Source organism: Homo sapiens, chromosome 6 (genome assembly GCF_000001405.40).
Source record: "Homo sapiens chromosome 6, GRCh38.p14 Primary Assembly".
Taxonomy (NCBI): domain Eukaryota; kingdom Metazoa; phylum Chordata; class Mammalia; order Primates; family Hominidae; genus Homo; species Homo sapiens.
Window position 1 is genome coordinate 6,850,419 of NC_000006.12, and position 13,088 is coordinate 6,863,506.

Consider the following 13,088-nt stretch of genomic DNA (forward strand, 5'->3'; position numbering starts at 1 on the left):
GACAAACAAGAGGTGCACATAGAGGAGCCATGAGAGATCTGCCGGAAAAGTCCGTGAGTCCAGACCTCAGGAGGCAGAGCAATGGGGAACATAGTGGCCTGCTTGGCCCCTGTGCTGGAGCTGGCCCTGAAAACAGCGGGGGTACATCCCGGGATCCCCACTTCCATCCGATCTTCAGAATCACCTGAAGCATGTTAAAAATACAGATTAATGGCCGGGCGCAGTGGCTCAGGCCTGTAATCCCAGCACTTTGGGAGGCCGAGGCAGGCGGATCACGAGGACGAGAGATCGAGACCATCCTGGCCAACATGCTGAAACCCTGTCTCCACTAAAAATACAAATATTAGTTGGGTGTGGTGGCAGGTGCCTGTAGTCCCAGCTACTTGGGAGGCTGAGGCAGGAGAATCGCTTGAACCTTTGGAGGCGGAGCTTGCAGTGAGTGGAGATCGCACCATTGCACTCCAGCCTGGTGACAGAGCGAGATTCCATCTCAAAAAAAAAAAACAAAAAAAACCCAGATTCATTACACTCAGTGTGTCCCGCCTCAAACCAACTAAATCTAAATGCCTCAGTAATTTTGATGATATGCCAGCTAGGAACTTCTACTTCTGGCTAAATCTGCCCCCAAGGAAGTGTGATCATATTTGTAGGATTCCTTAGAAATTATGTGTTCCTCCACTTCCTCTAGTCTGGCTTCCCCATGAAAACGCAGCCGCGTTGGTAGCAAAGACCAGCTGCTTTGGCTGTCCAGCTTCATTATCTTGGCTTTTTCCCTGGTAACTGTCCCAGATTCTCCGTAGGTGTTTACTTTGTGTGAGTCAGCTGGCTCTAGTGTAAAGCATGTGACCTGGGTCTAAGCCAATCAGCATCTCATAAGCCTCCTGCCATGACTGGTTCAGGGATAGGCCCTTAGTCCAATCAGAGACCATGAAATGCAATGAGGCTTTGCCTAGAAATGCTGAGCTAAAGATCTTCACTTTCTATGCAGGTTTTGAAGCCAGGAGCCCCTCTTCTTGAGATCTATTGGCAACCATCTTGTGAAGGAAGAGCCCATTGTGTAGGAGGCAGATGCTGGAGAAAAAGAGACAACAGGGCCGGGTTTTATCATTTGAGACTTGAGTAAAGTCATACCGGAAGTCACACCCAGTCTACCCTGGGAAGCTTGGTTACAAGGGCCAGTAAATTCCCTTTTCTTTTCTTTTCTTTTCTTTTTTTTCTTTTTTTTTTTTAAGAGATGGGGGTCTTACTCTGTTTCCCAGGTTACTCTCGAACTCCTGGCCTGAAGCCCCCTGTCTCTGCCTCCCAAAGTTCTGGGATTACAGGCTTGAGCTACTGTGCCTGACTAAATTCCCTTTTTGATTAAGCCTGTTTAGATTAGGTTTCTTGTCAACCTGCAACTGAAAGAATTATCGCCAATACAAGGTACAAAGTCCTGAAAGGTAAGCTCTTTGAAGCACAAGAAAAGCAGGAACCCTCAGTCTTCTTTATAAAGGAGATGTCCTCATGAGAGAGACACGGGCCACTGGCAACTTGAATTCATCTGGAATATTCATAAGCTTCTAGAAATGGCAAAGAAAATGGTTTATTTGATTGGCCAAAGAAGGACTCTCCTGATGATGTAATAATTTCATCTCCTTGCTTCCTTGGCTGTATTGCAGATTTGACAAAGTATTAAAATGGCACATTGTAAAAAATCTTTATATTACGTAAGCATAAAGTGTTCTGCAAAAATCAGAAAGAATTGTGCTGGTTTGGTGATTGCTGAGTCATAAAAGTAAAACATAAAAAGTAAGGTTTGCCGTAAACAGCACTATAAAGGATTTAGTGAACCTAACATGAGTATAAATTACCAAAAGTATGGATAGTGCACAGGGAAAAAGTAAGGTTATCGTTGTATTTTAGTAAAAGAGTCAGTAAATTCTTATAAGATACAAGCTGGAATGGCCCATAAAATAACTTCAGGGAAGAAAGTTTAAAAATAATGAGAAAAAAATTAAAATAACGATTGATTGCATTTGGGGGAGAAGAGGGAAGTCTTTAAAAAAAAATGTAACTTGCAGCCCTTTCTTGCTGTTTTTCATTTATGCATCTGTACCAGGCAGCTGATCAGAAGGACCCATTTTATCTGCCACCACGTGTTTTTGGACAGTGTGCTCAGTTTGGGATGTAACTTTGGTAGGTCATGTTCATTTGCCCTTACTTTACCATGAAATTATTAAAGGGACAATTGTCTGATTTCTATCCTAGCTGGTGGAGGGATTGCTTTCTTGTTTTACCCACATTGTATATATATTTTATTTCAGAGTAGATAGATGGGAGGGAGCATTTACAATTCATGTAAGTACTCATTTTAGAGATAAGAAAACAGATCTAAAGAATGATAATCAATGTGTTGCACCTTCTTCAGTATAGTAGTCCCTTAGTATACATGGGGAATTGGTTCCAGGACCCCCACATGTACCCCAAATCTGCAGACACTCAAGTCCCACAGTCAGCCCTGCAGAACCTGAGTACGTGAAAAGTCAACCCTCCTTATACATGAGTTTACCATCCCACCAATACTGTATTTTCCATCCATCTTTGGTTGAAAAAAGTCCACATAAGTAGACCCCTGCAGTTCCAACTCCCGTTGTGCAAGAATCAACTGTAAAATGTTATTGGAGAACAACATGCCCATTTCTTTATGTATTGTCTGTAACTGCTTACATGCTACAAAGGCAGAATTGTAGTAGTTTCAACATAGACTGTATAGCCTGCAAAGCCAAAAATATTTACTGTGTGGCCCATTCAGAAAAAGCTTTTAAATCCCTGCTCTAGAACTCAAGTCTCCCAATTCTATGATGAATTTACTTCATTTCACCCAGTACTTACAGCACCTGCTGTGAGCTGGGCCTTCCAAATGGGTAAGACAGCCCCAGTACCTACACTCCTCCAGGAGTAGCTCCAGCTCCACTGGTATTCTTTCTACTATGCCACTATCCTTCTCAGTTAACAGCGGGAAGTGGAAAACTCGAAGTTCATTTATTTAGCAAATAGTATTAAGCACTGCTATATCCCAGGCACTGTTCCAGGCTTTGGGAATCCATCAGTAAGCCATAAACATATAAATCCCTGTCTTGGCTAGGCACGGTGCCTCATGCCTGTAATCCCAGCACTTTGGGAGGTCGAGGTGGGTGGATCACCTGAGGTAAGGAGTTCGAGACCAGCCTGATCAATATAGTGAAACCCTGTCTCTACTAAAAATACAAAAACTAGCCAGATGTGGTGCGTGGTGCACACCTGTAATCCCAGCTACCTAGGAGGCTGAGGCAGGAGAATTGCTTGAACCTGGGCGGCAGAGGTTGTAGTGAGCTGAGATAGCACCATTGCACTCCAGCCAAGGCAACAAGAGCAAAACTTCGTCTCAAAAAAAAAAAGAAGAAGAAAAAAATAAAATAAATCCCTGTCTTCATGGACTATCCATTCCAGTGAGAAGAGGTGGACATAGACAGTATTTTTAATTTCTATCCCTTAGATAAAGAACTGCCCAAGGTGAAAGCTAATGAGGACAGAGCTGGAATTAGAGCCCAGGGCTAACTGACTAACATAGAGGTGTTTCCAAAAGATGATTTTGCCTCTGTACAGAAGAGCATGTTGTTTTCTTGGATCTTTCTCCTTCAATTCAAAATCTTGATCTGTCAGGAGAGCTGGGCCAACCCATCAGGTTGCAGGCAGGTGTCCATGGTGATGAAGGGATGGAAAAACTCACTCCTGACCTCCCTCTCAGGTTTTGGCCTCTCAGGCACCAAATTCCTAAGCACAGAACTGGGAAGTAAGATCCTCGGCGGCCCTTCCTACGGGACAGTCCTGCAGGTCCATCAGAGTATTTGATTGTTTAAACGAACATCTGTCTGGGGCAGAAACTGCAAATAGGATAGGAGAAGTTTGTTTGAATTTCCCTTTGGGACCTCAAAGCAGCAGGTGGAGAGAAGGAACTTTTAAAATTTCCATGTCAGCAGTGAGGAAAAGTGGAAGGAAGGAAGAGAAAAACAAAAGGAGGTCTCACAAAAGCATGTCAGAGTCAAAATCAGAAATAGATGTGAGAGTCTCTGGAATCATGTCCTTAGTTCTGGCTTCAAACAGAGACCCTTCCTCTCTCTGCAGACCACTCTCCAGGAAAGTCAGCATAATAGGGTAGGTACATATAAACATTTTACTCCATAAGAATTCTTCTGTCAAAAAGACTTTCATCTTTGCATTTTGATTTTAGGGTTAAGAAGTCTGATGCTTTATTAAACTGGAAAACTCACCTGCCCAAAACCATTGCTTTCTTCAATGGTTCTGCACTACTGAAATCACTCAGTACTTTCTGACAAACAACTTAAAATGAACCCATCCTATACTACTGTCTGACCTTTAAAGAATGTGTAGAAACCTTTTAAAGTAGTATCTGAGCTGGGCGCGGTGGCTCATGCCTGTAATCCCAACACTTTGGAAGGCTGAGGGGGGCTGATCACCTGAGGTCAGGAGTTCGAGACCAGCCTGGCCAACAAGGCGAAACCTGTCTCTACTAAAAATACAAAAAATTAACCAGGCTTGGTAGCACAGACCTGTAATCCCAGCTACTGGGGAGGCTGAGGCACAGGAGAATCACTTGAACCCAGCAAGCGGAGGTTGCAGTGAGCCGCGATCATGCCACTGCACTCCAGCCTGATCAAGAGTGAGACTCTGTCTCAAAAAAAAAAAATAGTATCTGTACTGTAAGAAAATTACCAATGAATGTTTATTACTCCCAGGCTAATATTCAATAGCAACTTTTCCCTAAATCTATTTTCTGACGTCCTGAAGGACTTCTACTAGAGCCAGGAAGTATCATTAGATTTCCATCATTGACACCCTAACAAATCTTAGAGACTAAGGAGTCACATTTGCAGCCTGCTGGCCATCTCAAAAGCCTGTGCCTCTACTGAGGGAGTGGGAGAAAAAAGACCTCAGGACCAGAATTTAGTGAGATATTCTATAAACTCCAAATCCAACCATTTTCCATCCATTCATTCAACATATATTTATTGAGCTCCTCATGAGTGCCAGCCACCATCTAGGCATTGGAGATAGAGTGGTGAACAAGCCAACTAAGTCTCTGCTTCCATGGAACTTGTACGTTCTAGGGAAGGAGAGAAATCAGTAAACAAATGCATGTGTAAGACAATAGTCATCGAAGAGAATTTTAGGCAGGGATAAATACTACTAAGAAAACTAAGGCAGGCCAGTCATGGTGGTTCACACATGTAATCCCAGCACTTTGGCAGATCACTTGGCCCAGAAGTTCAAGACCAGCCTGGGCAACATAGTGAAACTCCGTCTCTACAAAAAAAATACAAAAATTAGCAAGTCTGGCTGGGTGCAGTGGCTCATGCCTGTAATCCTAGCACTTTGGGAGGCTGAGGTGGGTGGATCACCTGAGGTCAGGAGTTCAAGACCAGCCTGGCCAACATGGCAAAACCCCATCTCTACTAAAAATACAAAAATTAGCCGGGCATAGTGGCATGCGCCTGTAATCCCAGCTACTTGGGAGACTGAGGCAGGAGAATCGCTTGAACCCAGGAGGTGGAGGTTGCGGTGAGTGGAGATTGCACCACTACACTCCAGCCTGGGCAACAGAGTGAGACTCAGTCTCAAACAAAAACAAAAGCAAAAACAAAAACAAAAATTAGCCGGGCGTAGTGGCACGTGCCTATAGTCCCAGATACTCGGGAGGCTCAGATGGGAGAATCACTTGAACCCAGGGAGCAACAGAGTGAGACCCTTTCTCAAAAACGCAAACAACAACAACAAAAATTAGCCAGGTTTGGTGGCTTACACCTGTGGTCCCAGCTACCTGGGAGGCTGAGATGGGAGGATCAAGGATCAAGGAGGTTGAGGCTGCAGTGAGCCATGATTGCACTATTGAACTCCAGCCTGGGCAACAGAGCAAGACCTTGTCAAAAAGAAAAGGAAGAACGAAGGAAGAAACTAAGGCAGAATGGGAGATAGTGATGATGGGTGGGTGGGGTTGCATTCCACAGAGCTGTCAGATAATGGGAGGAAGGAGCTAGACATGGAGGGTCTGGGAAAAGCATCCCAGGATGAGGAACCAACAGAGATCCTGTGTCGCAGGACCAGGTTTGGAGGCTGCTGGCACCATGAGGACGTGAGGGCTGTAAGCTGGCAGAGCTCTTAGAGTGAGCATGCTGAGAGCTGTAGGTCATGGGTCGGAGCGTGGGTTCTATTCTACTGTGACAGGAAGTCATGCCGTGAGAGGATTTCCCCGCAGTGAAGTCAGGTGATTCGTGTCCTTAAATGCTGCCCGAGGACTTCTGAGTAGGTGGAGCCTAGGGAGGGAGAGCAGAGGCAAGGGGATCAGTCGAGCCCCGCTGGTGGGATGAGTCTGCCGGGACAAGGGGTGCTAGCTGTGGTCCTCGTCTGCCTTGTTCTCAGCTGTATCCTGGCCCCCAGATGAAGCCTGGCCACAGTGTACTTGGTAAATAGTGGTTGCAGGAATGACTGAAATCCTGGCCTGAGTGAGCTCACAACTTTCCATATGAGGCAAATAAGCAGATCTGTTGGTTATGACCCAGATACGTGGTGACCAGGGCAAACGTTTGTCAGAGGAGTGACGGGTGGGGGCTGGACTGTCTTCCCGGTACAGCTGTGGAGGAAAGCAGGCAGTGCAGCTGGGACATGCAGCCGCTGTCCCCTGGGGCTGGCGGAAGGGTGTGGAGTGACGGAGAGGGAGAGCTGCTGATCAGGGAGCTGGGCATCCCGTTGCAGCCTTACTGGGAAGCTTGCATCCCAGAGCCGACTTGCCTCACCTTTATTCAGGGATTCAGGCCCTTCCCCTCCCCCAAGGGCTTGCTTAATTCCCCTGGCTTCCTTGAGGCATACTCAGAAATTCCTTTCAGTTCCCCTTTCTGCTGGCTGTGCTTGAGGCAGGGATGGGCCAAATACCCTCCACGCCCTTGGTCCATCCAGAAGTACTGAGTCAACAGCCCTTTCCCAGAATCTACCTCCATCTCTTTCCACACCTGCAGCCGGACTGTTCCCAGGAATGAGGTGGGGCAGGACCTGAGAGCAAAGTGTGAGCTGGTGTGCAGAACCACCCGGAGGTGGAAGGAAGCTAGAATCTAGTGTAGGGTGCCTCTGACACTTGTCCCACACATAGATCTCCCAGGGATGACTGTGTGGGTCCGAGGTGGGATGGAAAACTTGCATTTCTTACAGGCTGCTGGGGATGCTGGTGCTGAGGCTTCCGATCACCCTGGAGGCACGGCTCTGTATGAAGGCAGGGTGAGGTTGGCAGAGGAGAGATAAATACAGTCACAATTTACTGAGTGCCAGACACCGGGCTAAGGGCATTATGTGAATAATCTCTTTTAATCCTCACCAGCCCTGTGAGTTGGCACCATTATTATGCCTATTTAACAGATGAGATTTAGAAAGACTGGTGAACTTGCTCAAGGTCACAGAGCTTGCAAGTGAGACTTGAACTCAATTGTCTGACTCCAGCAGTTGAACTATTAAGAGAAATTCCGAGAGGATAAATCTTGATCGTCTGACTATGATGTGTTGTAAGCAACAACTAGAGAAAAGATCAAGAAATGAAAAAAGATGCCCATACAGCCAACAAAGGGAAGGGTGTATATTGTATATGCAGCTATGACTGGACCCAGTAGAATTTCAGGATGCCTCAACTTCTGAACCAATCAAGATTAAAAATAGCTGTGACAAAAGAAAAAAGATAGCATGACACATTATCCTCTTTGCTTCGAATCTATCTAAAAATCTATATTTCAGGATAAAATTCCCTTCAGATTTAAAAATTTCTCTTTTATTTTTGTTGTTCTACCCCACCACATCCCAGGGCGTTTCGTTCAAAATATGTAGTAAGTTATTTCTCTAAATTGTCTTTGTTTTTTATGTATAAAGTATAATAGATAAGCACCTAGTATAAATTATTTCAGATTACTATACTACTGTACAAGGTAAACAGGAGATATGCTGAAATGCAGTTGTGGAGTTACGGCCTGACTTGGTATGAATAGCCTTTAGGTGTTGGACAGGGAAAAAAATGTTGGACAGAATTCTCCTTGCTGGACATCGTGCACATTGAAAATTAAAATACGTCGTGGAATTTAAGTATTTATAATCAGCACAACTCAAGTAAAAGCAACAATCTGGTTTAAATCCTTCACAAAAGGAAACTCAACGTTGGAGCATCTGAAGGGCGTACTAGCCCAACTGTTTTCTTTCCTAGGGAGAAAGTCCCTTGAATGTTACACAGGCTTAAAGCATGACCTTGCATTTTCATCCCTTGGCTTCCTCATTTTTGTAGATTTCAAATCAGACCCGAAAGACCGTCTCACGTGGTTAAATAATGTAGTGTCTGGGTTAATGACTCCAAAATGCAAAATGAGACCGGAGAGAGAACAGACTGTTTCTCCTATAGGCTGCCCTAACTCTCAGCCTCTGGGTCCTCCAGGCGCCCCATAAACATAATCTTGTGCGCTTCTGCTCATCACACCTTGTATGAGTACTCCACGGGTTTATTATACACGCAGGCTCTTGGTGGGGAGACAACAGTGAAACTGATAGATTGTAATTCACGTTCCAGTGAATCCTATGCAGGAGGGGAGGAGTCTGACCACAATAATGAGGCGTTCTTTGTCTTAGTTTTGCTTTTTTAACAAGTTTCCTAAACCTTGGTGAGCTCCATGCTCAAAGGAGTTCAGGGGCATTCTATTCAGGAAATTCTGTTTTTCCTTATAAAATTGGAATTAAAATGCTCTCATCTGCACTTGCTCCCCCAGGCCTTGGAGACTTGGTCCTGGGGACTCCCATGTGTGCAGACCTTGCATTGTCACCCGTGGTGCTTTTTCTCAGCTCCTCCTCTGAGTGGCAGAAGGAACGCTAAAACTCAGATTTCCTGCTTCCACTGCAGGCCTTTCTTCAGATGCTGAATGCCTTTCTACGTTCACTCCGGAATTATTAATATCGGACTGACACCCCCCTGCTTCCATCCTCAATTCCTGTACATATATGCCTGATGTCATCTAATGTTTTCCCTTTGGGGGAAAACAAATTCCAGCTTTCCAACAGAAAGCCCTAGATTTATCAACTCTTCAAGGCTCTCTGTATACAGCATTTTGAATCTAGACAAAATACATAAAGAGTTGATACCTTAGTTTCCAAGAAAATTATGAAAGCAAGCCCTGCTGTTTATGATTATGGGCTCTAAATGTGTAGCCCGGCCCTGTCCAATAGAAATATAATACAAGTCATGCACAGGATTTTAAATTTTCTAGTAGCCATGTTCTAAGAAAAGTAACAGATAAAATTAATATCAACAATATATTTTATTTACCTCAGTGTAACCAAAATAGCATTTGAACATATAGTTAATAGTAAAACAATTGTTAATGGGCAATTTTGCATTCCTTTTCACTCTAAATCCTCAAAATCCAGTGTGTTTGTTACAATGACAGCGTATCTTGATTATGACAAGGCACATTTCAGGTGCTTGAGAGCCCGGCATGGCCAGTGGCTGCAGTGTTGGACAGAACTGGGGTGGCCACTCACGTAATAGCTGGAAAAATCTTCGGTGAGTGCTTTAACTTCTCTACCCCTTCCATGTTTTCCTTCTTAAAGATAGGCCACTGGCTCCGCCTGTCTCTGGATAGCCTACCTATTACACATTCAATAGAAGGAAGGCAAGGAGGGAGGGAGGGAGGGAGGGAAGGAAGGAAGGAAGGGATTAATTTTCTTTTTATGCCTCTTAAGTCATCCCATCTAAAAATATTAAGTATAAAGTCTGTCAACATTAACATGTATTTTTTAACCAGGCAAGGCAGCGTGCACCTGTAGTCCCAGCTACTCAGGAGGCTGTGGCAGGAGGATTGCTTGAGCCCAGGAGTTGGAGGCTGCAGTGAGCTATGCTCACACCACTGCACTCTAGCCTGGGCTAGACAGCGAGACTCTGTCTCTTTAAATAATAATAATAATAACATGTACTTTTTTAACCTGAAATTAAGCTTTTTTTTTTTTTGTAAAGAATTTGAAGAAGGCGAAAGGGGTTTACTTTGGCAGAAGTTTCCATATGACCTTGGTCCTGCGGGATCTCACTGAAAGCTAATGCTGCAAACTTGTCATACTTTGACTTCAAAAAGTCAATGTCAGACCGGGCTCGGTGCCCCACGCCTGTAATCCCAGCACTTTGGGAGGCCGAGGCAGGCAGATCGCCTGAGGTCAGGAATTCGAGACCTGCCTGGACGACATGGTGAAACCCCGTCCCTACTAGAAATACAAAAATTAGCTGGGCATGGTGACGGGTGCCTGTAATCCCAGCTACTCGGGAGGCTAAGACAGGAGAATCGCTTGAATCCGGGTGGCGGAGGTTACAGTGAGCCGAAATTGTATCACTGCACTCCAGCCCGGGCAACAAAGTGAGACTTCATCTCAAAAAGACAAACAAACAAAAAGTAAATGTCACCAAGCACCCACATGCAGCCGAAGCTAAGTTGGTTGTTCAGTAACATTTGAGACAGAGGCCCAAACTCCACAAACTCCACAAGGCGCTGATCCAGCCCCATGCCTTTGAGCAAGAGCAGGAACAGGAAGGGATTCCCCTGCAGACACAGTCCTGGGGCGGCTGCCACTCACACATGCAGCACTGGGTCACTTTGTCTCCTTCATCGCTGCGGCTGCCACTCACACATGCAGCACTGGGTCACTTTATCTCCTTCATCACGGGTGGGCCCAGCCCTGGTCAGCGGGGCCCCCTGCCCCAACGCCACAAGTCTGAGCCCCTATCTACTTTCTGGGGATATTCTCACCTCCCTCCTTCCCAGCCTTGCCTCAACTCTAGCTCCCACCTCCAGGACTATTTCCCCAGCACAAGAGCCCTGCTGTTTAAATCATCAACTGAAGCCTCGTGCACTGCTTCCCTGAGTGGTGTGGGCTAGGGAGTCCTTCCAGGATTTTTCTTTTCTTTCTTTTTTTTTTTTTTTTTTTAATATAATGATGTCCTGATCCCATCCTAATGGCTGAGCTGGACGATTGCTCCGCTGAACACATGGTTCTTACCTAGGTTCTTACTCACCTTCATTTGCATGGGACTTTGAGCTCAGCCCAGATAATCTGCTGCCTCCATCACTGAAACCATCCAGATCCTTTTCAGTCTGGAGAGCTGCTACCACCTCTCTACAATTAGCAATAGGAGCAGAATGAGGAGGACAAGGCTCACAGAGTCCCACCCAAACGATCCAGACACAACCCAGGGTGATTCCAGGTCATTCATTCATTCATTCATTCTAATCTGCTCTCACGGAGCTTCCAATGTAGAAGTGCTCACAGAGAAGTGAACAATCACTTAAATGAAGCAACGTAAATGCCAAGCTGGGGGAAATTTTCACTGACCTTTGCTATCCAACTTTGTGAGCAGTGAGGATGATGGTACATTTTGAGGTAATTCACTCATTCCCTCAGTAGCAATGTGTCAGACAATAAAGATAAACAAGTAAAATATTATAGAATGTTAGAAATAAGTACCAAGGGGTGAGTAAATCGGAGAAGGGGTATAGGAATTTGCTATCTAAAGGTAAATTCTCAAAGACACTCTTCTTTTTTCATAGTAATAATTATAAAATACAGTTTGAGCAAACAGAGCCCGCCTGTAAAAGTGCTTCTTATCTTGGTGGGTGTGTGCAGTCAGAGAGGGGTGGCTCCGATAAAATTCTGTAAACTGGGCCCCAACTTCCTCATCTGTGAAATGGGTGCAAGTAGGGAGGACTAACTCACTAAGTCCATTAGCCCAGGTCTTCTAAGAAGCAGACTCAGAGGGTAGATTGAACCTGCAAGAGATGTCTTTAGGGAAAAAGTTGTAAGAGAAAGTGAAGAGGGAACTAGAGGAGGTTGGGAGAGCCAGGAGACCAGGCAGCAGCCTGGTGGCCTCGTGCAGGAGAGGGAAGGGAGGAAGGTTGGGTAGGAAGAGTCTGACGCTGCAGTACAGTTTCAGCCAAGCTGATGGAGAGCCAAAGTTGCGGGCTCTAGGGAACAGGCCTGCCTCAGTATCCCTGCTGTACTCTTCCCTGGCTGGGAGCAGCCTGTGGGAAGCCTGGCCTCACACACGCAGAGTTCCAGGGTAGATTTCAGAGCATGGTAGCCAGGGCACGTCAGCTGGAGAAGTGACAGGCACATTTTTCTTGGCACCACGGTCCTCTCCTTGTGCCATATATTAGTCTGCTAGGGCTGCCATAACAAAGTTCCACAGCCTGGGTGCCTTCAACACCAGAACTTCATTTTCTCACAGTTCCAGGGGCTGGAAGTCCAAGATCCAGGTGTCACAGGGTTGGTTTCCTCTGAGGCCTCTGTTCTTGGCATACAGATGCCACCTTCTCCCTGTGTTTTCACATGGTCTTCTTTCTGTGTGTGTCTGTGTCCTCACCTCCTCTTCCTATAAGGATACCAGTCCTATAGGAGTAGGGCCCCCCCAATGACATCTTTTCACCTTAGGCCCCTTCTTTACAGGCTGTGCCTCCGAATACGGTCACATTCTGAGGTGCTTGGGTTAGGATTTCAACATGTGAATTTTGGGGGCACAGTTCAATCCATAACATGCCACGTAACTGCTTCTCTCCACAGTTGCAAGTTGCAGCCCCCGTGGTCCCATGTATCCCTCTTCCCTAAAGAAAACTCAGAAGAAGAAAGTAAGACAAATTACAGCCCCCAAACTGTGGTTGATCTTGGGGCCAAACCCATATCTGTCGTCTCCCTCCTCCACTCTCCGGTTTGAGTTCCCTTCACCCTCAGCTCTCACCCTGGCAGGTCCTGGTTGTTTACCTGGTAGTGTGACCTTATCCTCATTCATGCAAGGTCCTGATACCCTTCTTATTCTGGGGTTGCAAGGAGTGTCTAGTCATAGTTGCTATGAGGCAGAAGGTCCCAAGAAGCACCCAAGTGGATCCCTGGGTCCCACATGAATCTCTCCTTCCCGTTGTTTAAAAGGAGCCCTTCCTCCTCCTTCCAGTCAGGGTGGCTAACACTTGCCCGTTGGTGACTCTTCTCACTCACTGATC

At 45.7% G+C, this 13,088-nt stretch overlaps 2 annotated features.

Annotated features, from left to right (window-relative positions):
- Positions 718-1,012: an enhancer, noted in NCBI's record as "tiled region #12260; HepG2 Activating non-DNase unmatched - State 10:DNaseD, and K562 Activating DNase matched - State 5:Enh". NCBI's record gives its function as "activates a minimal TATA promoter and a strong SV40 promoter by Sharpr-MPRA in HepG2 and K562 cells {active_cell/tissue: HepG2 | K562}" and the evidence as "EXISTENCE:reporter gene assay evidence [ECO:0000049][PMID:27701403]".
- Positions 6,238-7,437: an enhancer, noted in NCBI's record as "BRD4-independent group 4 enhancer chr6:6856889-6858088 (GRCh37/hg19 assembly coordinates)". NCBI's record gives its function as "activates an origin of replication core promoter dependent on BRD2, P300/CBP, MED14 and CDK7 cofactors, and independent of BRD4, by STARR-seq in HCT116 cells {active_cell/tissue: HCT116}" and the evidence as "EXISTENCE:reporter gene assay evidence [ECO:0000049][PMID:35650434]".